The sequence below is a fragment of the Homo sapiens genome, chromosome 3 (assembly GCF_000001405.40).
Source record: "Homo sapiens chromosome 3, GRCh38.p14 Primary Assembly".
NCBI classification, from domain to species: Eukaryota; Metazoa; Chordata; class Mammalia; order Primates; family Hominidae; genus Homo; species Homo sapiens.
In genome coordinates this window covers 172,318,614-172,340,893 of record NC_000003.12, presented here as the reverse complement: position 1 = coordinate 172,340,893, position 22,280 = coordinate 172,318,614, and the positions used below count along the sequence as shown (strand labels likewise).

At 42.2% G+C, this 22,280-nt stretch overlaps 1 protein-coding gene across 11 annotated transcripts in view; it reads right to left on the bottom strand.

The window, feature by feature from the left end:
- The window catches only part of FNDC3B (fibronectin type III domain containing 3B), a 362,092-nt gene that overhangs the window by 60,776 nt on the left and 279,036 nt on the right, over positions 1-22,280 (bottom strand). For all 11 annotated transcript variants that reach the window (NM_022763.4, XM_017007062.2, XM_017007064.3 and 8 more), the window contains 5 exons: positions 11,818-11,942; positions 10,179-10,353; positions 7,719-7,805; positions 5,812-5,950; positions 3,493-3,564 (listed from right to left, as the gene is read on the bottom strand). In NM_022763.4, coding sequence (NP_073600.3) covers positions 3,493-3,564; positions 5,812-5,950; positions 7,719-7,805; positions 10,179-10,353; positions 11,818-11,942 — 598 coding nt within the window. The remainder of the gene's footprint in view (positions 1-3,492; positions 3,565-5,811; positions 5,951-7,718; positions 7,806-10,178; positions 10,354-11,817; positions 11,943-22,280) is intronic.

Sequence of the window (22,280 nt, the reverse complement as noted above, 5' to 3'; positions counted from 1 at the left end):
TCACCACAATTACATTTGCTATGAGGTTTGGATGTGGGAAACCATAATGAAACGTGCCGCTGGCATGGAGGGAGTGGTAGGAGACACAGAACAGGGGTGGGCAAGCTATCAAATGCTCCTGGTGTGAGGAGGCCTCAGGGGCAGCCAGGCACGGGGCTACTTCTTGGCCACGAGGCTTCTGGCAAGTCTGGGGTGGTACGCAAGAATTTCTCCCTGTTCTTATCTGCCTAGAGGTCAAAGGAAGTGAAATCCTCTTTTAAAAACTGGGTCTTTTGACTGCCTTCATGGAGCTCCACTTAAAAGACAAAAATTACAGGCGGTGGCTCACGCCTGTAATCCCAGCACTTTAGGAGGCCGAGGTGGGTGGATCACCTGAGGTCAGGAGTTTGAGACCAGTCTGGCCAACCTGGCGAAACCTTGTCTCTACTAAAAATACAAAAATTAGCTGGGCATGGTGGTGGGCACCTGTAATCACAGCTACTTGGGAGGCTGAGGCAAGAGAATCACTTGAACCCAGGAGGCAGAGGTTGCAGTGAGCCGAGATTGCGCCGTTGCACACCAGCCTGGGCGACAGAGTGAAACTCTCTCAAAAAAAAAAAAAAAAAAAGACAAAAATGCCTACGGGGGTGACAAATTAAAGACCAAATGTGGCATGACCCAAGTGATCTGACCGCTTTGTGGAACTGAAGAGAGAAACGGTCACCAGGAGTCTGGGTGCCCCCCAAGGCTGATGCCGTCAGAAGCAAGGGCACCCAGGGCTGCCTCAGCCGCCTGCCTGACTCACAATTCCAGGCCACTGGGAGGCTCTTCACTCCTCTGTTTTATTCCCACTCACGCTGTGTTTCCAGTTGACCACTTTACAAAAGCCTTTTACTACATGAAGTTGTTTTAGGGGAAATGCTTTTTCTATTCCCTGGTATTTTAACTAGAGTAACTTCCACAAATTCCCCCAGCGGCTTATTAGTTTAGATTCACAACAGAGTCGCATGCACTAAGGCCATATGAAGAAAGGCAATAGCAAAGGCAATTATCCTGATATTACAGGTCAAAAAAACCTGTACTGAAAAGGTGACTGGGAGCAAGGATTACTGAAAAGATTCAATCACTCACTCAGCCATGCAGTCACAAAGTTGTTAACTGGAAGTCCAGAAGGGCCCCTACTTTTGATTTGTCATCAGTAGCTAAAGGGAGCCATGAGAATTCAAAACATACTTAAATATTCACAACGAGCCACTGGCATATACATGACTTCTAACCTAGTTGGGTTTTTCTAATGAAGAAAAGCTAAACCAGGTTTTTTGTTTGTTTGTTTGTTTTTTGTTTTTTCTTCCGAGACAGAGTCTTACTCTGTCGCCCAGGCTTAAGTGCAGTGGTGCGATCTCGGCTCACTGCGACCTCCGACTCCTGGGTTCCAACGACTCTCCTGCCTCTGCCTCTCAAGTAGCTGGAATTACAGGCACATGCCACCACACCCAGCTAATTTTTGTATTTTTTCTAGCAGAGACGGGTTTCACCATGTTGGCCAGGCTGGTCTCGAACTCCTGACCTCGTGATCCACCCATCTCGCCTCCTAAAGTGCTGGGATTACAGGTGTGAGCCACCATGCCCAGCAGTTCTAAACCAGGTTTTTAACCACAAAATATGATTTTATGTTTAGAACAGCTGTGCTCATCTCAAAAGAATTCTCATGTTTTCAGCTTAAAATAGGAACCAACAGACTTAAAAAAATTCCAGGTGGTTCTCATGGTACAGAATAAAAAGCCAGCCACACATCAGCACTGCTTGCTTGTAAAAGTTTTATCAATGCTCTCTGTTTTTGGCATTAGCATGTGCCATTTAAAAAAAAATTTAATGGTGGGCCGGGCGCGGTGGCTCACACCTGTAATCCCAGCACTTTGGAAGACCGAGGTGGGTGGATCACGAGGTCAGGAGATCGAGACTATCCTGGGTAAAACGGTGAAACCCCGTCTCTACTAAAAATTCAAAAAAAATTAGCCGGCCTAGTGGTGGGCGTCTGTAGTCCCAGCTACTCCGGAGGCTGAGGCGGGAGAATGGCATGAACCCAGGAGGCGGAGCTTGCAGTGAGCCGAGATCACGCCACTGCACTCTGTCGCCTGGGCGACAGAGCGAGACTCCGTCTCAAAAAACAAAACAAAACAAAACAAAACAAAACCTTAATAGTTAGAGAGATTATTACAGTGGTGAGATGATATGTCATTTAAAAAGTTTTGAAGACTATACTTTTCTCTATTAAAGTCTAATGAATTTTATTAGAAAGAAAACCTTAGAATTTTTAAAAAGGCACTAAGGAATTTTATTTCTAACATTTGTCCCATGTTAATCCACCCAGTATGAATAGTAACAAAAACCTGAAGCAAAATGACAATGAAGTTGGAAAGACATTTTCTAAACTTGTTATAAAAGTGTGATTCTTGTCACTAGCCCACAATACTATATACTGTTTAATCATGCATGGGAATTTGTAGATTACTGAACCTACCCCTTTTCACTATCTCCACCTTCCCCTTCCTGCCTCTGATACTCTCTTTGCTTATAAGAATTTTTTTTTTTTTTTTTTTTTGAGACAGAGTCTCACTCTGTCACCAGGCTGGAGTGCAGTGGTGCAATCTCAGCTCACTGCAACCTCCGCCTGCTGGGTTCAAGCAATTCTTCTGCCTCAGCCTCCCAAGTAGCTGGGACTACAGGTGCCTGCCACCACACCCAGCTAATTTTTGTATTTTTAGTAGAGACGGGGTTTCACCATGTTGGCCAGGATGGTCTTGATCTCTTGACCACCCACCTCAGCCTCCCAAAGTGCTGGGATTACAGCGTGAGCCACCACTCTCGGCTGCTTATAAGAATTTCCAGAAAACATATGGCAAGTTAGGAGATGAAAATACCAAATTTATCTGATTAATTAGGAACCCTAGTTCATAAAAAGACATGGAAGCTGAGTGTGGTGATTCATGTCTATAGTCCCAGCACTTTGGGAGGCCAAGGTGGAGGGTTGCTTGAGGCCAGGAGTTTGAGACCAGCCTAGATAACATAGTGAGACCCCATCACTATGAAAAATGTATTCTTCCTCATCTTCTGTGGCAGAAGAGTCACTTAAGCCCAGGAGTTTGAGACTGCAATGGGCCATGTTTGTGCCACTGCCCTCCAGCCTGTGTGACAGAGATCGTATCTCAAAAAACAAAACAAAAACAAACCAAACCAAAGAAACAAAAACAAAAGATAAACAAAACAAAACACCAATGAAAAAGATACAGAAAAATTGTTAAATAACACAAATGTAAGTTTCAAGTAGACTCTGATCTCTGGTGCTGTGTTTGAAATAGAAAAACTGCCAATATGTGACTAAAGTTTGTTTATTGTAATAATAATTCTATCTTTAGAATTAATGATTACTCACTATTACTATAAAGACATTTACTATATTAGAAAACAGAGCTTGCTATTGGATTTGAATAAAACAATTGCCAAAAACTTCACCTTCAGAATTTCCATCAGTAATCTCTAGCAAGTACTTGAGGATTTCTGAACCACCATTGTCCTTAGGGGGATCTGGAAAATAACCAAATGTCTTATTAGCAATAAAAGGATATTGATTTTTATTGGTAAACATCATCAGGACTCATAAAATCACACACCATTATACTATCTGAATTCTAGACATGACCAAAAGGCAAAATAATTTATTTCACCAACTCCTCTGTTGAAAAAAAAGAAAAAAACAAACCAGGAATCTCTGAATACTATCAGACTATTCAAAGTTCTTAGATATAGAAATGTCAAAGAGCATTCATGTAGTGAAATATGAACAAAAAACTCGGCACAAACTGATCAAGTTGTTGAATTTACTTGAAGGTGCTCTTTAATATATTTGATGATTTTTATGTAAGACTGTATGTTCATATTTCTGATTTTATTCTTTTTATTTCACTTATTTTATCAGTGACTAGATTCTTTTGTTTTTTTTTTTTTTCCGTCTGAGATGGAGTTTCGCTCTGTTGCCTAGGCTGGAATGCAATGGCGCCATCTCGGCTCACGGCAACCTCTGCCTCCTGGGTTCAAGCGAGTCTCCTTCCTCAGCCTCCCAAGTAGCTGGGATTACAGGCGCCCGCCACTACGCCTGGCTAATTTTTTTGTATTTTTAGTAGAGACAGGGTTTCACCACGTTAGTCAGGCTGGTCTTGAACTCCAGACCTCAGGTGATCCACTTGCCTCAGCCTCCCAAAGTGCTGGGATTACAGGCATGAGCCACCGTGCCCGGCCAACAAGATTCTTTTGAGTGATGGAAAGGAACGGAAAGAGAAGTACAAAATTTATTGACAAAATAAATAAAATATCAAAATGGAATACGTCCATTCTAGCAGTTTCCTACCAAGCAAACTTTACATCCCAGCATCCCAGGTGAATGTGGTATGAAACCAGAGGTGTGGATCAATGAGAACCAGTGCACCAGCAGACAGTCTGAGGAAGAAGGTTCTGGCTTATGACTAGAGCCCTAGGCACCTTGGGTATATAGTCTACCCATAACTCTGTGCCTAAAGGAATTTTATTTTCTGAGCAGAAAAACACTTCCTTTGCAGTCTAATTTTGCAAAACTATAAAGAATGTACCCTTATTATCAGTCTGCCACTTCTATATTCTTAGACATAGCGGAGATTTTTCTAAAAAATCTTAAGTTTTACTTATATATAAATTTAGAACATTCACTTCCCCTCTCCTTCACCTGGTATTTCCATTAATGTATATATACTTCAGTAGTAGATATTTACAATAATAATTATAAAGTTAAATATTATAGCATATAGCCAATGAAAGTAAGTAGTGTTGACAGAACTTTCTGAGGTTCTTTGAGAGAAAAGCTCTATGGTCTGGCTAAAAGCACATCTAGATTTTTATCATTTCTCTGAATTATATCCATCTCTTGGGGAAACAGAAATCCTAATAATTCTATCTCACAATTATTAGGTAACTTGAAACAGTTATATGTCTCAGTGGTTGGTGTAATAATGTTTTAAATTCCCCTTATATTACTTGGCTGCAAGGTAAAATTTTATTTAAGATTTCAACTTTTTTTTTGCCTATTAGTTAATATTATTATGACATTAGTAAAAATGATACGCATAACACTTTTACATATTAATTGTCAACCTTCTAATTGTATTCATTTTATTGAAATAATTCACACAACAGAGGTGAGGCACAATATCCTTTTGCCAGACAACCTCAAACTCCTTATGAACTTTAATGTTAAAATTTCCCAAAGTTCAAGACTTTATACAACAAACACCAATGGAAACAAAACTATCCCTAATTCATTGCAACTTAAATGTTCTGTATGCTAAAGTTTACTTAACAAACCTAAATTTTGAAATTTATTTTCAATATTAACTTTATAAATCAAAATTTTTCTATTAAGTATTGCTAATTTTTTAAGGATGAACTATTGAAGAATGAACGATGCATGCAGAGATTACTACATTCAAATCCATGCCTTAAAAATATAGGAGAAAAAAATATGTAAACAGGAAAATCATAGAGTAAATGAGATACTCTTAAAAATCATCCATTTTAATTTCCACTAAAATTTAATTGTCCATTACGATTACATTTTAATGAAATTGTCCATTCCAATTTGTAGAATTCTCAGGATGTTTCTCACACATATATTCCGAATGCAGAAAACTTCTGCAAATACCATCCACAATTTTTTTGGCTTGTCACTACTAAAATGAATCATTTTTTAAAAATCTATCAAAAGAAAAAAAAAAAAAAAACAGTAGCAGCAGCAGCAAAACATACCCCATTTGACACTAAAGCCATGAGATGTAACTGGGCCTTTGACAAGCGGTCTGGTAGGAGGTCCAGGCCTGTCAGGACTCGTCGTACAAACAAGAACTTCGCTTGGACAGCTTTTTCCTTCCGTATTAGAAGCAGTCAGCTAGAACACAACCAAGGAAACGTTAACATGATTTAGTTATCAGGGATCATTAAATTAATGGTCACTTTTTAACATGGTGAGATTAAGGCACCCATAAACTCAGACACACACACATTTTTTTCTCTTTCAACTCAAGTATTAACAGTATTTATTTTATAAATCATTTACTGTATAGTTGGTTATTAACAATTAAAAATAAAACCAGCCAGCACAGTGGCTCACGCCTGTAATCCTAACACTTTGGGAGGCCAAAGTGGGTGGATCACCTGAGGTCAAGAGTTCGAGACCAGCCTGACCAACATGGAGAAACCCCATCTCTACTAAAAGTACAAAATTAGCTGGGCGTGATGGCACATGCCTGTAATCCCAGCTACTCGGGAGGCTGAGGCAGGAGAATCCCTTGAACCTGGGAGGCAGAGGTTGCGGTGAGCCAAGATCATGCCATTGCACTCCAGCCTGGGCAACAAGAGCGAAACTCCAACTCAAAAAATAAATAAATAAAAATAAAATGATAAGATGGGTTTTAAAGATATTTTTACCCTTTCAAAAAGACATGATAAAACAAGTATGTCATCACCTGGTTTGTATTGTTTTGTGAAAGGAAAATATGGGGGTGGGGGGGGGGACATAAAAATAGCCCCACTTTTTAAAGCGTAGGGCAATGCCACCTTGTGGAGAAACGTTAGCAGTATAGCTATGTTCTCATAGCCAGCATCGATAATAAGGGTTTTAAAAAATATGTTAAAAATTATCATTTCCCTCAAATAGTCACACACTGCACTTGATAATTTGGCAACTATTTATTGAGTGATTGCTATGTGCCAAATAATAGCATTTGGTCCCTGACTTAGAGAAGAATGTGTGGAATCAGAAGACAATCTTATCTTCCAAAACGCACACTTGTCATACTAGAAAATACAGTGCTGCAGAATATCGTTTTGATCTCTTAGTGATCGTAAAGTCATATTCACTTTTTTGGCTACTACACATAGTCCTATAGTAACATTAATGGTGGCTGTTAATGACCAAAGACAGCCCAGGTAGGGAGGGGGTGGGTCATGGAAGAGAAAATTACAAGCAAGTGAGGAAAAATAAATGGGCAGAAGAGCAAAGGAAAGTGAAGAGCAAAGAGACTGCTCGAAAGGAAAAAGGTATGGAGTGCAGGTAAGTGACAGGTGCACTCCAGCACCTGGTGTGTCTCTTCCCAGGCAAGGGCATTTGGCCATGCTGTAAATGCAATTTATTACAGCACATGATGACAATTTTTGTGCTCACAAGTTGGTTTTAAAATTAAAGCATGGGCCAGGCGCAGTGGCTCATGCCTGTAATCACAGCACTTTGGGAGGCCGAGGCAGGTGGATCACGAGGTCAGGAGATTGAGACCAGCCTGGCCAACATGGTGAAACCCCCGTCTCAACTAAAAATACAAAAAAAAAAAAAAAAAAAAAAAAAAAATTAGCCGGGCATAGTGGCACACGCCTATAGTCCCAGCTACTCGGGAGGCTGAGGCAGGAGAACTGCTTAAACCCGGGAGGCAGAGGTTGCAGTGAGCCGAGATCGTGCCACTGCACTCCAGCCTGAGTGACATAGAGACTCCATCTCAAATAAATAAATAAAGCATGTTGTACACTTTATAAATGTTACTTTCAAAATGTAAAGTGCTGTGAACTTCATTTTTTAACCTGTAGAGTCAATCTGACATGGTAAATGGTGAAATAGAAAACAGTTTCATTTTTAAGCAGTTCAGGTAGCAAAATGACTGACTCACCCTGAATTTATACTGTGTGCTTCTTTTGAGATTTTTCACAGTACAGGTTAAATCCTCTCCAGTGTATTTTGGGTGGAAAAGGTTATCCTGAAAAGGCAAAGCCAGGAAGAAACATCAGTATAAAAAATTCTGGGCATTAAATACCTTTGAATACAGGATTTTTATACTGCCTTTCCCTACCATCACCAGCAACTGGCCAGAGGTCTGGCAGCTACCGCAAAAGAGAAAAATCAGAAGCCCAGAGTATTGTGGATAGCACTTGAGCTTTAAATAAAAATTTATCTCCATCACACTGTAATTTCTCCTGGGTCTGGTCAAATTTATTGTGACAAAGGAGTTAAGCAACTTTTGAAAATACATTTAACATTTTTAATGTTGTCATGAAAAAAGCCCTTTGCACCGAGGTCTTTACTATCAAACTGCAATGTGCTATGCAGTAAAGTGTGGCTGAGCTTCCTGACCACACAGTGCCCTCTTCTGGCCATGGGAGAAAGGACAGCTTAGATGGGAAAGGGCACAATCCTTTAGGAGGGCAAACATTCCACTAAAAGTTGAACTCAGGGAACTCATTCAATAGTTCTATCTCTATCATTCTATCATTCACTCATCAAAATACTACTTAGTACCTTCTCTGTGTTGGGCTGTCCTCTAGGCTCTAAGGATTCAGCACTGCCCAAGAACAGAAAAGGCCTTGCCCACAAGAAGCTCACATTCCAGTGGGAGAAGACAATACAGAAAAGCTGCTATGTATGTCACATGGTGTTAAGTGCTATGACAAAAACTAAAGCTAGGTAGGAGGATACAGTGGTGGAACTGGTGAGGGCTTTCTACAGCTGCTGGAGGTAAATATGGTAGCCATATGTGGCTCTTTGAATTTAAGTTTATTACAATTAAAAACTCAGTACTGGCTGAGCTTGGTGGCTCACAACTGTAATCCCAGCACTTTGGGAGGCTGAGGTGGGCAGATCACCTGAGGTTGGGAGTTCGAGACCAGCCTGACCAACATGGAGAAACCCCGTCTCTACTAAAAATACAAAATTAGCCAGGCGTGGAGCTGCGTGCCTATAATCCCAGCTACTCGGGAGGCTGAGGCAGGAGAATCACTTGAACCTGGGAGGCAGAGGTTGCAGAGGGCCAAGATTGCACCACCGCACTCCAGCCTGGACAACAAGGCGAAACTACATCTCAAAACAAACAAACAAGCACAAACCCTCCATACTATAGGCCAACATGCATATGTCAGGTGCTCGAGAGTTGTATGTGTATAGGTGCCACCATACTGGATGGCACAAATTATAAAATATTTCCATCACTGCAGAAAGTTCTATTGGGTGGTGCTGTTCTACAGTGTGATCAGGGAAGGACTGCCCAAAGAAATGACATATGAGAACAGACTTGAAGAAAATGAGGGAAGGGAGTCAAAGACATCTGGAAGGGCATTCTGGCCAGAAGGCAGAACTGAAAAGGCTTTGAGGCCACAGCACACACGGTGTGTTTAAAGAACTGACTAGAGGCTGGCTGGGTGCGGTGGCTCACACCTGTAATCCCAGCACTTTGGGAGGCTGAGGAGGGCAGATCATGAGGTTAGGAGATGGAGACCATCCTGGCTAACATGGTGAAACCCCATCTCTACTAAAAATACAAAAAAAAATTAGCCGGGTGTGGTGGCGGGCGCCTGTAGTCCCAGCTACTTGGGAAACTGAGGCAGAAGAATGGCATGAACTTGGGAGGCGGAGCTTGAGGTGAGCCAACATCGCGCCACTGCACTCCAGCCTGGGTGACAGAGCAAGACTCCATCTCAAAAACAAAACAAAACAAAAAGAACAGACTAGAGGCTAATAAGACTACAGTGAGTGGAAGCAACGAGGACAGTAATGGAGAGCCCAATCACACAGGACCTTGTGGGCATTGTAAGAGCTCTAGGGATTTTACTCTGAAAAAGAGGGGAAGGCACTGAGACAGGAAGGATTCTGAGCAGGGTGCTGACATGATCTATTTGTATTTTACAAGATGATGTTCTCCACCCAGGCTCTGTATGGAGAACAGACTGAAGCCTAGTAAGGATGAAGTTAGGAATATTAAGAGGCTATAATCCAATAACAATATTATGTTATTGCAATAATCCACAGGTGAGATGAGTGGCTCATAAAAGGATAGTAGCTGTGGAGATAAAAATGGTTAATTTCTAAATAATTTCTAAGGAAGATTCAAAAGGATTTTCTGATTATATATAGGATCAAGGATGACTCCAAGAGTTTTTGCTTCCCCAGCTGAAAGGATGGAAATGTCATTTACAGAGATGGGAAAGAACAGGCCGGTGTTGGTAGTGGTGGTGACAGAGGCAGAAATTAAGAGTTTGGCTTTGAACTGATGCAGTTAATCTAATTTCATGGTGCCCTGTAGCTATAATAATACTGACTCGTACAAAACACAGAGAAGTATAAAATCTGTAAAACTCACATTTTCATCCTCCTGAATTTCCAAGGTGTAGGTGATCACTTCCTCGGGTGAACAGCCTTCTGGCTTACTCCACTGCAACGTGACCCATGTGATGCCAGCTCGAACCAGCCTTGGTGCAGAAGGCATCTGAGGGATATTTCCTAATGTGTAGCACACCACCTCTTGGCTATAACCACTGTAGAGAAAGAAAGTGAGGCACACAGTTAGAAGCATGTGAAGAGGCTTGGCATTTTAAAAGAGGAAGGCTCAGCCTGCACACTACCCAACTCAGCCTAGCAGGTAGAGTAAGCAAAGCCAGGTAAGGATGCTGTGTGTGATATTCCCTATAACCACCTTCAGCTTCCCCATCCCCCCACCCCATGATCTTCTACTAGACACACACACCAAGTCACAGGACAATATACAGTTGGCCTTCTGTATCCTTGGGTTCTGCATCTTGAGTCCACGTGAATGAAGTGACGTGTGGGCATTATATTGGATATTATAAGCAAGTTAGAGAAGATTTAAGGAGAGAAGGATGTGTGTAGGTTATATGCAAAGACTATGCCATTTTATATCAGTGACTGGGGCATCCATAGATTTTGGTATTCATGGCAGGGAGGTGGGGGAAGTCCTGAAACCAATCCCCTGTGGAAACCAAAGGACAATTGTACTTAAGAATTCATTTTCCCCCCTCAAAAGCACTGGAAAGAAGGTATAGCACAAGGCAATGTTTATCAAGTTACGGGTCAAGGAGCCTTCAAATCAATGTGAGCAACAAATATTTGTTGATGAAATAATGTTTTACAATATATACAGTGCTGTTTTTCAAAAGTTTGTGGATGCTTCCAATTCATTTAAAAATTCTTGAGCCATAAAGGGCTTTGTGTCGGTATTTTTTCAACCAGTGAACTCTGAAGCTGTAATGGCTACCATGGTGGTGGAGGCAGGTCTGTAAAACTTTGTGATGTTAAAAAGAGGTTCTTTAGGTTGGAAAGAGGGTTGGGGACCACCGATGTGCAAAACCTTTAAGAAGATTTCAACAAGCAGTGATGAAAGAAAAAGATTTTTCCCTTAATGAAGAGTTACCCCCCAAGTGCAACTGAAACATGGCCTTTTCAAAGCCTCTTTAATCAATTGATACCTTACAGTACACCCGTTCTCGCCTTTCTCATACAGCCTAGAGGCCTGCAGAGGCCTCTAAGACAGTCCAGGTTTTCTCCAATTCCGTATCTGCCCTGGGCTTGACAACAATGGCTGGCCCAGCATCTCTTTCTTTGTACCAGGAAACACTCACATAATTGAAAAAAGGCAAGTGAATGAAGAGCTTGCTAAAGTGATAAAAGAAAAAGGCATGTGATCTAAAAAATTAAAGCTCCAAGAGGAATTCCTTTCAAGATCTGTACTGCTACCTTCACCTTGGTTCTTAGAGACCCCTAGTGGGGCCTTCGCAATACAGCTTGCAAGACTGCAGAGGCCATAGTGACATTCACCAGCTTAAAGGAGGCCTTCTCTCCTCTGATTAGGATTCCCTCTTGGAAAACCTCCAGTTGATTTAGTGTGGAGGCAGCAGGCTTCCTCATGCCTTCCAGCTATGTAAAAGAAGGCTCAGGATCACCATCCAAAGGCTGAAGGGCAAGAGGACAAGGAAACGTCATACCTGGTACCAATGTCGTTTCGAGCGGCCAGCCTGAATGTGTACCCCATTGCCGGACAAAGCTTTGTCAACTTGCAGTGCTTCTGGCTCCCGAAGAAGCACTGTCTGAAACCACTATTTCTTTTTCCCTAAAAGTAAACAATGAAACAATGCATATACTTAAAAAAAAAAAAACAACAGATAACCCTAAATAAATGAAGGAGCATCTTGAACATCTTGAATAACTGCTTAATTTCCTAGTTTGAATGAACAAAAACAATAGAAACTTACAGGGAAGTGTCCATGTTGCAAATAAAGCATTCTACAATGAAATCTCATCTCTAACATAAAGGCACTACAGAAAATTCTGTAATTGAGACAGGTAATTTACTGTACCTGTGGTTTTTTTGGTTAATAAAATAAAAAAAGGTCCTTTCAGGCACAAGACGATGCTCCAGTTAACGATCACAATTTCTAAGATCCTCCTCCTTACTTAGATTGGCCCAAACTGCCCAGCCTGATCAACCAAGAGTCTACTGCATCCACAGAGGGGTCACTGGCTCTGAAAATACACAGCCTTTCCCAGTAACTCCTGAGCACCTACAGACCCGTCTCTGCAGCTGAGTGTGCCATACAAGGCCCTCTCCAGCTGTATCTTTCTTGCCATGCAGTGGCCTCCAATACCTTCACAAGTACATTCTAGTGATGGTGTTTCTTCACTGATTGCTGCTACTGGTCACAAACCTTTGAATCATTTTGTCCACGTCTGCTTTGCTCATAACAGTGCTTTGGACAAACTGGGAGCTCAATCAATGCTTGCAGGGTGGAAGTGAATGATAAGCACTTGGAACATTGGTTGAATTAATCTATGTATATTACAGTCACTCTAAGTTTCTTGTCAGGCTAGAAATGTATTTTGAATGCCTTCCTAGCCTTATGTGATACTTCAAATTCGTTAAAGTAAAAATAAAACACTCTAGTGGGGTCTCGTATTAGGTTCAACAAGTAAGGAAAAAGTCTAACCGCCCTATGCCACACTCACAGGCATGTAATACTCTTATCAGTAGTTTGTTAGAATATTTCCTACCCATATCCACATTATCTTACTATCTTATCCATGTTCATGCAAAAGAAAACCATAAGCTAACATTGAGTGGATCTTAGCATTCTAACTGGACAGGCCCAGGGCCTTGAGCAATGTGTCTGAAGTTCTCAATTTATTTCACAAAAAACAAAGCAAGCACATTTTTTACGTAAACAAATTTAAGCATCTCCTTCCTTTCAGCAGGTCTCCAAATACCACTAAAACACATTCCAGGTGGTTTTAATTAAAAATAAAATGAACACACCACTAGCCTGACTGTTGCTACGGTGAGCACATTAAAAACAACCACACTGGCCGGGCGCGGTGGCTCACGCCTGTAATCCCAGCACTTTGGGAGGTTGAGGCGGGCAGATCACGAGGTCAGGAGATCCAGACCATCCTGGCTAACACAGTGAAACCACATCTGTACTAAAAATACAAAAACAAAATTAGCCAGGCTTGGTGGCGGGTGCTGGTAGTCCCAGCTACTCAGGGGGCTGAGGAGGGAGAATGGCGTGAACCTGGGAGACGGAGCTCGCAGTGAGCCGAGATCGCGCCACTGCACTCCAGTGTGGGCGACAGAGTGAGATTCCGTCCTCCTGCCCCGCCCCGCCCCCCAAAAAAATCACACCACATTCATCCTCCTCAAAGGAACCCCTTCCCCACCCACCTCCTAGAGCCAGGAAGCACCTTTCCCAATGGAAGGGAGTGAGAGTTCTAACAGTCTTTAAGATTGAAAGTTCATTTTATCAAGGGTTCAAGGTGCATTCAGATGCAACTTGGTGGCCGAGTTGGGGGTGTGCAGCAAGTAAAGCCTGACATTTCTCAGTTGCTCCTTGAGTGAACTCACTATGTGGCTGGCATGTCACACACTATGCTTACTTCAACCTTGAGTGTTGAGGTTGAGGAAGATGATTTATTCAAATGCATACACTTGAATAATTACACCCAGCATCCGATCACACTCTATGGGAGCCCTGGTATGTGTCGTATCCATTTCAGGCTGTGGCATGATCTACCTTCTTTCCTCCTCTATTTCTGAACTCAGAGTAAGCAGTGCAAGAAAGGCCCATCCTGCCATGGCGGAAGCTCTCATCCCTTCCAAACCCCGTGTTGGCTCCCCTTTAATGCCTCATTTTTCCTATTTCTTTATTTGGTCTCCTTTCCCCTTTTCTTGTGCTTAGAACTGTAGCCAGTAAAAAAAAAGTCAGTGTTTCTTACTAGGTTAATTTGCTTTAATACAGTAGAAACCAGACTGTTTGTGGCTCAAACGAGAAAAAGACTGGGGAGGGTTCGAAGGGGAGAAATGACTTTTAAGAGAGCCAGAGCACTCACGCTCACTAAAGAATTAGGAGAAGGGGAACTGTGTGACCTTCAAGACATCTTCCTATATTGCTAACATTTAAAAAAATTCTACTTGTGAAAGAAGTAAAAATGGCGCCAGTGCACTCCAGCCTGGGCGACAGAACAAGACTCCATCTCAAAAACAAACAAACAAAACATAAATCTTGGAGTCAGGACCAATTGTTAAAATCAGGAACAACTGCTATATAAACTACAACCCATATAGACAAAGCATGCCGAATTTTCTATCATAACAACTTCCAGGATGTACTACTATGTGCATAAACTTAGGGACACCTAGAAAGATCCAGAGTTGTTAAAACCCTGGAATTCAGTTTTGGAAGCATTGTCTGTAGAGTCTGTAGAGGTAAGAATACAAATATTTGACAGTTAAAAGAATTAAGGCTTATTGATGAATTTTTAGAAGTCATTGAGAATAAAACAAAAACAAGGGAAAGTAGGTTAAAATATTTCAGACATGAGAGAAGTTTTGAATAAAAGAACATATTCATGTATAACATGAAGTTTAATACAAAAGGCATATCTGGGCGGGGTGTGATGGCTCACGCCTGTAATCCCAACACTTTGGGAGGCTGAGGGAGGTGGATCACTTGAGGTCAGGAGTTCGAAACCAGCCTGGCCAACATGGTGAAACACCGTCTCTACTAAAAATACAAAGACATTACCCAGGCGTGGTGGTAGACGCCTGTAATCCCAGCTACTTGGGAGGCTGAGGCAGGAGAATTGCTTGAACCCGGGAGGCAGAGGTTGCAGTGAGTCGAGATCACGCCACTGCACTCCAGCCTGGGTGACAGAACGAGACTCTGTCTCTAATATAAAATAAAATAAAATGCATATCTGGAAAGAAAAAAATTAATGTTCACAAAAGTCACTGCAGTACAAAAAGTGATCTGCAGCTGAGAAGTTAACAAGTGAACTGGAGAAGGCCACTGGCTCCAGTGATCCGATGCCAGCGTGCTGGTCTGTCTACTGCGCCAGGCTCTCCGACGGCTCTGGAGCTTAAGCATTAGAGTAGAGTAAGTCCGTGTTCAAAGGCATAGAAGATTTGGAGAATCTGTTCATAAAACAAGATGGGTCCCAGGTTGCAAATAGCATTTATAAACAAAACATTTTCCTGTTCTTGTTGACAGAAATGGAGTTAAAAAAGAAAAGAGCTAATGCTTTAGAGGACTGAAAGATTCATACGAACTGACAGGAGTGATAAAGTGAATGTTTATCATTGTTTATCAGAAGTTAAATATATCCAAATCATTCCTGTCAGTGAAGTTTTAGAGATGGTAAATGACAACTTTCATATTTTATATGCTGTGTGGCTCCCAGAGATTTTGAGAGATTATAATCTATGGCACGTTCCCGCCTTTAAAAAATCTAATTTAGACTACACAGGATTACTGAGATACGCTGACTTGACTTCGGAAACTTAGTTGTTAATAATTTAAATTCAGCCTTGTTCAAAGTTCCCTACTAAAATATGGCTGCAGTAGAAATGGGTAACATCCTGACACTTTTCAGACCTGTTGTCATCAATGATCTGGTCACACACAGGCAGCAGGGACAGCCATGACTTAGGCCTAATCCTGGCCAGCTACGGCTGCTAGGCCACTTGTGGTGTGTCACACAGAGGAGAGTAAGAGCTTTCAAAGGGGCTGCCAGGGCCTGGGAGTCAGCTGGTCCGCAGGGCTGAGGGAAGAGACTCCTAGCTGCACTCCGCTTCTCTGCGCGTTGGTGGGTCAGGTTCGCAGCACATGAGCAGTCAGGATCAGAACCTCTAAGGTGACACTGGAGTCCCTGTTCTCAGCGGGGTATGGAAAAGATACTTCACCTGAATTAGAGAAACTGGTCAGAGTGAACACCATTGATCATTCTGGAACAGACCTAGCCACTGGGCTACTGACCTCACTGGACATGAACCAATATAACCCCAGCCAGTTCTGGCCTAACTTTCTACTGCCAGTGTCTGTGAGCCAAAAAAAGGGCAGATTTTCAGGGTGCACTGGCTTGTTTCCATTTTGCAACCTTGGGCATGCCCAAATGCTTGTTTCTGCAGCTCAGACCAAGTTCATTCAAGGGCAAGGTTAATCTTTCTTTACTACAATGTGAAGAAATCTTGGAGTACAAACCAACTGTGTGCAGACAAACCTTGAGGTGCTCAATCTGGCGCAGGATGACGCATTGCAAACGTGGGTTGTTTCCTTTCCCAAGCTGAGTGTTCCTCTTCGCACTCAACCTAATTCACAGTTGTTGCTTATCTATCTTCATTCCACACCCAGACCTAGCCTGAGAGCACCAATTCATCACCCTGGGGTAATGTTTTCCAACCAGGGACGAGGGTGTTTTGTCTACCACTTCTGGTCAAAACTGCTCTCCAGGAAAGGACTTGGCTCGCCAGTAAGTCGACTCATATTCACAGCATGCATCAGATCAGCCCTTCCCAAGCCTGGGAAGGGAGAAAGGGCTTTGCCTCTTTCTCCTTTCCAATCATCAAACAAAAATACATTGGGTATTATCCACATTCTAGACACCACTGGATCATCTTACTCTATGTTCCGTCCAGTGTGCCTTGCGCAAACCTGTCCCCTGATGTCATCATAACTCTTACCACAGAGTTCACCTGCCCTAAGCTGGACACCTCATTTATCTGAACCTGGGTAAGTGCCTCTTTCATTTCAAGATTCACATACTAAAGGAAGTCATCACCTTTGGGGGGAAGTCCCAGCCTAGTAACGCTTAGAATACTACATACTCTATGAGCACCTGCCTCCCCTTTGCTTCATCCTCATCCTCACTCACTTTTTAGAAGGGTCATGCATTTTTGGTTTCAAGTCCTAATTAATAATGGGAGTCTAGATATTGTTCTTGTTCCTACAGGGTCCTGCTAAATTCTGAAGAATGGCAATAACCTCCAACTTTTTGCCAGACTATGAAAGGCCCCAAACACAGAAAAAAAGGGGCAAGAGAAGGGAGCTTGGAGAGTATATAAAAAGCACTATGTGGCTACATAGCAGAGAATGATCAACCCCTGAAAACATCTCCAAGATGTGATTATAATCTCCAGGACAAAGACTTTTTCTTTTTCCCCCCACAAGGGAGAAATACTGTTTCCAAATATTCTACTTTTTGTGTGTGTGTGTGAGAGACAAGGTGTCTCACTCTGTTGTTCAGGCTAGAGAGCAGTGGTACAAACAGACCATAGCTCACTGTAGCCTCAAACTGCTGGACTCAAGGGATTCTCCTTCTCAGCCTCCTGAGTAGCTAAGATTATAGGCATGCACCACCACACCTGGCTAAATTTTCAATTTTTTTCTTTTTGGTAGAGATGGGCTGATCTCGAACCCCTGGCCTCAAGCTATCCTTCCACCTGAACTAGGCTTCCCAAAGTGCTGGGATCATAGGTGTGAGCTACCATGTCCAGCTCTGCCATTCTCCAAAATGAAATTTGGAGATAAATTATAAATATAAAATATTTTGAATATTTTAAGGAACATCTTTATTTTTTCTTTTACCCCCTTACTACCTACTTGAATATTTTTCAATTTCTTTCAAATTTGTAGTTAAAAAACAAAAACTGTCTGTTAAAGATTTTAAATACATTTATATTCCCTGCAAACAAACAAACAAACAAAAACTAAAACACTTTGCTGCACTATCATGAGTCACCTGAGGGAACAGAATACACGATCCTGCTTTTCAAGTACAACTGAGGCAGAGACATTAACTGGAGATAAACAGTCTGTTTGGGTTCCCTGCCCTTATCACTAAGGGAGCAGGCAGAGTGATCTCTTCCATCTGCTAGCTGAGAAGATTGGTATTTGAGAGCCACTGAGGCATGTCTCACTGGCTGGCTGAGTAGCACTGGCTATGAGGTATGAGGTCCATCCTGTCACTGTATTTCTGGGTACACATTTGCCCCCACTCTCCCTGTCTCCAGAATACTCAGAAAAGAATCAGGGATGGGAAAAAGAGTTACGTTGTACTTTTAAAGTATATGACCTTATATCTAACAGTCTTAGGTTATAGTACCTAAAAAACTGTATGTGCTATACAAAGATAAAGAAAAAAATATTTGTTAATGGTTTCTCAGGACCAAAAGGAGACAAGAGAAGGCTTATACCACAAGTGGTTACTTTAAACATGTCTAAAAATTCTGTGATTCCCTATCCATTGAGAAACAAAGTCTAAGTCTATGTCCCTTTCCCTTGAATGCGGGTGGTCTTGTGACTCTCTTGTAACCAAAAGGCTGGAGTGGAAATGAAGCCAAGGCTGGGTGTGGAAAGGTGTTACAGCTTCTAACTTTTGCTGGGACACCTGATTTTCGATTCTCACTACCCTGAAGCTGCCACGCTGTGTGGGAACCCCAGGCCATGTGAAGAGCCCCAGATAGGTCCAGTCCAAAGTGAGCACTGATGCTAGACTTGTGAGTGAAAACACTGCCAGAAGATTATTCCAGTCCCCAGCCAATGAGCCCTCCTCGCTGAAACTCTAGATATGATAGAGCACAGAGATGCCACTCCCCAGTGCCCTGTCCAAATCCCTAACCCAGAGTCCACAAGCATAAGAAAGTGATTGTTTGAAGCCTCTAAGTTTTGGGGTAATTTGTTATGCAATATTACACTCATCTATTTTGAAGTCTATATACGTTTATAGCATGAAGTTTTACCCCTCTGAATTTCTGCAAACTTTTATAAATTCCTCCTACACTGTAAACAGCTAGAAGGTGGGGGAATGTAATGTGCATGCTAGCATACAAAATAAATGTCTGGCTGGGCATGGTGGCTCACGCCTGTAATCCCGGCACTTTGGGAGGCCGAGGCGGGTGGATCACCTGAGGTCAGGAGTTTGAGACCAGCCTGGCCAATATGGTGAAACCCCATCTCTACTAAAAAAAATTTATAAAAAATAAATAAATAATAAACATAAAAAAATAAAAATACAAAAATACAATAATTAGCCGGGTGTGGTGGTGCATGCCTGTAATCCCAGCTACTCAGGAGGCTGAGGCAGGAGAATTGCTTGCACCCGGGAGGCAGACGCTGTAGTGAGCCGAGACTGTGCCACTGCACTCCAGCCTGGGCAACAGAGCAAGACCCTGTCTCAAAACAAAACAAAACAAAACAAAAACAAAAGCAAAATAAATGTGTAACATATGATGGGTCCTATTTTCTACATGCACTTAGTACATGCCTTTTCTTTCAAAGCCATCCACCAAAGTAAGGACCTCTCTGAATAATTTTAAAAGTTATTTTTGTATAAGCTAAAAATAGAACCAGACTCCTAGACGATAAAGATCAACCAAAATTGCCAATCAACAGCTATGCAGTTACTTCATCTTACAGAATCACATTTTAGATTGAAATAAGACTTTTAATAATGCTATCCCAAACTTAGAGAACTCTTGGGAGATTTTTAAATCCAGACACGCAATGGTCTCTAGGGGACAGTTTAGGTATGACATAGCCTAAAACCACAGGAGTCAACAAAGAAAAGAACATTTCAAAGGACTTCCTCATGTAACCAGCTTTCCACCTCTCTCTCTGGGTATCTGTTTACAAACATACAAGAGTTCCAGTGAAGAAACAAATTTACAGATGGTCTACCTACTTGAAAACTGGCAGCTAAGTATATAAAAAGTATTTGATTAAGATCATAAAATGCAACTAATATTTAGAGTATGTTTAAAAATATATTTGTTGTGTTGATTTGTAAAAGTGTGTAGTTGAAAGACTGAAAACAACAACAAAAGAACTTTTTCAAGTTAATTTTTCTTCTTTACTAACTTAGTATCCTCATAAAGCTTTCCTCAGTACTTGGGAAGATGAATCCTCTAAATGGGCTGGTTTCCCATTAAGGAACACAACTCATGGCTCATTCTATACATGTAACTCACACACATCCCAATTAATTCAGGCTACAGTGTTTTCCTGCCAGTGTAATTCTGTAGACTGTGGGGGCTGTGGCTGCCCTGACTAACATTTCTAATTACCCTGGCACTAACAACACTAGAAGTGGGTATTTCCAACACCGCTGGCACTAACAGATGAAGCTGGCTGATATTTTCAACTGCTTTTAAATTAATAGATTGGAAACGATACTTCCTGTTCCTCTTTATAACTGCTTCATTCCTGGCACAAGATTAAGAATGGCCAACACAAGGATGCTGGAATTCATGGTGAACTTTCTCCCTTTGGTCTTGTGACTTACTCCTCCTGATGTTTTCTTGATGTGTGGTATCTTTCCACTGTCCTCCTTCTCTTTCAGATTTTTTTGTTTTTTTTGAGTCAGAGTCTCACCCTGTCACCCAGGCTGGAGTGCAGTGGAATGATCTCGGCTCACCTCAACCTCCGCCTCCCAGGTTCAAGCGATTCTCCTGCCTCAGCCTCCCAAGCAACTGGGATTACAGGAGTGCGCCACCATGCCCGGCTAATTTTTGTATTTTTAGTAGAGACAGGGTTTCACCATGTTGGTCAGGCTGGTCTCAAACTCCTGACCTCAGGTGATCCACCTGCCTCGGCCTCCCAAAGTACTGGGGTTACAGGTGTCAGCCACTGAGCCCGGCCTCTTTCAGATTCTTCCACAGCCATGCCTGCTGCCTTCCTGAGCTGCTCTTACCAGGTTTGATGACTGTCTGCTAAATAAGTTCCATGAATTTGGTTATCAGTTGTCACGTGCTTGTGGCCCATGGCTGCTGAATCCAGACATGGGCTGAAGGATTCTGGGCTGGCCATTCTCTGTTAATAGTATAGTTCAACCTGTCAGAAACGGCAACAATACATAAAAAATAAAGTTGCACTGGCCAACTGAACTACGGCCAGACTCTAAGATTTAGTCTGCTAGAGTGTCTATATTTAGAAGCTGTTCCAGCACCGGCTGATCCTAGGCAACATCAAAGACCAATGTTGGCTTCAGAAATAAAAGAGCACGTATGTGTTCAGCATAACCATATATAAGAGGCTCCTAACAGGGAGGGAGGGACACTCTGCATTTGGGTGGACTCAGAAGTTCCTCGTGCCAAACCCCACTCTTCCCCCAGGGACGCCTCTTTCATTTTATTGCACGCTCTGGCACAGAGGATGTTTCAAAGGTAAGAAAAGTGGGTGGGATGATTTGTGGTTCCATGTTACCAAATAAACAGGGAGGCATTTTATCCCTCAGCACACTAGCTTTTCTGTAAGAGGGGAGGCTTGGCTGCCTGAAATAGCCAAGGATGATCACTAGGTCTTCTGGTTTAAACAAACACACAAAGAAAATTTTCCTATGTATTTCTCCAAATATTGAGGTTCATCTGTTTTCAAATGCTTTGAGAGGATCGATGTGTTAAGACTGTCTCAGGGAAGGGGGAGCAAGGGAGCCGAGGGCCTAATTTCAGAACAGACTGTTAGTACAATTTACAAATGAACCAAGGGATGGATGGGGTTGGTCCATCCACCTAGTGAAGGCCCAAGGCAGTCTTCTTCCAGCTCACGATGAGAAGCCATGACAAAGGCGAGTTGATAAATCAGGTGTCAGGAACCAAGAGGAGATTTATAATTTAGCCTCAGCAAGAAGCTCCACATCAAGTTTGCTTCCCAAACACACAACCTCATCATGTACACATGCGAGAAATGGTAAAAGAGAGAAGGCAGAGAATCTGCTACAGGTGTGTGGATCTCTGAGACTGAGGTCCCTAAAAGAGGGGGCTCCTTTTAATCATGAAGTGGCACCTAAAGATGCCTCTGAGTTATTCAATCCTTCCTGGCTTAGTTTCCTTCAATAGCAGCTATAGTGGGGCAGCAATTCTCTTGGCTTTCTGAAACAACCGTAAGACATGGCAGTGGGCACTCATGTGAAAGATGGTCTCTGATGGACAGAGCCAAAATGAACTTAGAACCCCACTTTCCAATCCCCACAGTTGCCAAGAATGACCAAAGTGCATGTGGGCCTGGGCAGGGGAATGAAAGCTGACCTTCCTGGCTTTTGTCATGAAACCAACCAACACACTGTCCACCCTAAGGCAGTGTGGCACCTTAGAGAGCTGGAGTCAAGCAAATTCTCAGGGGGCTCT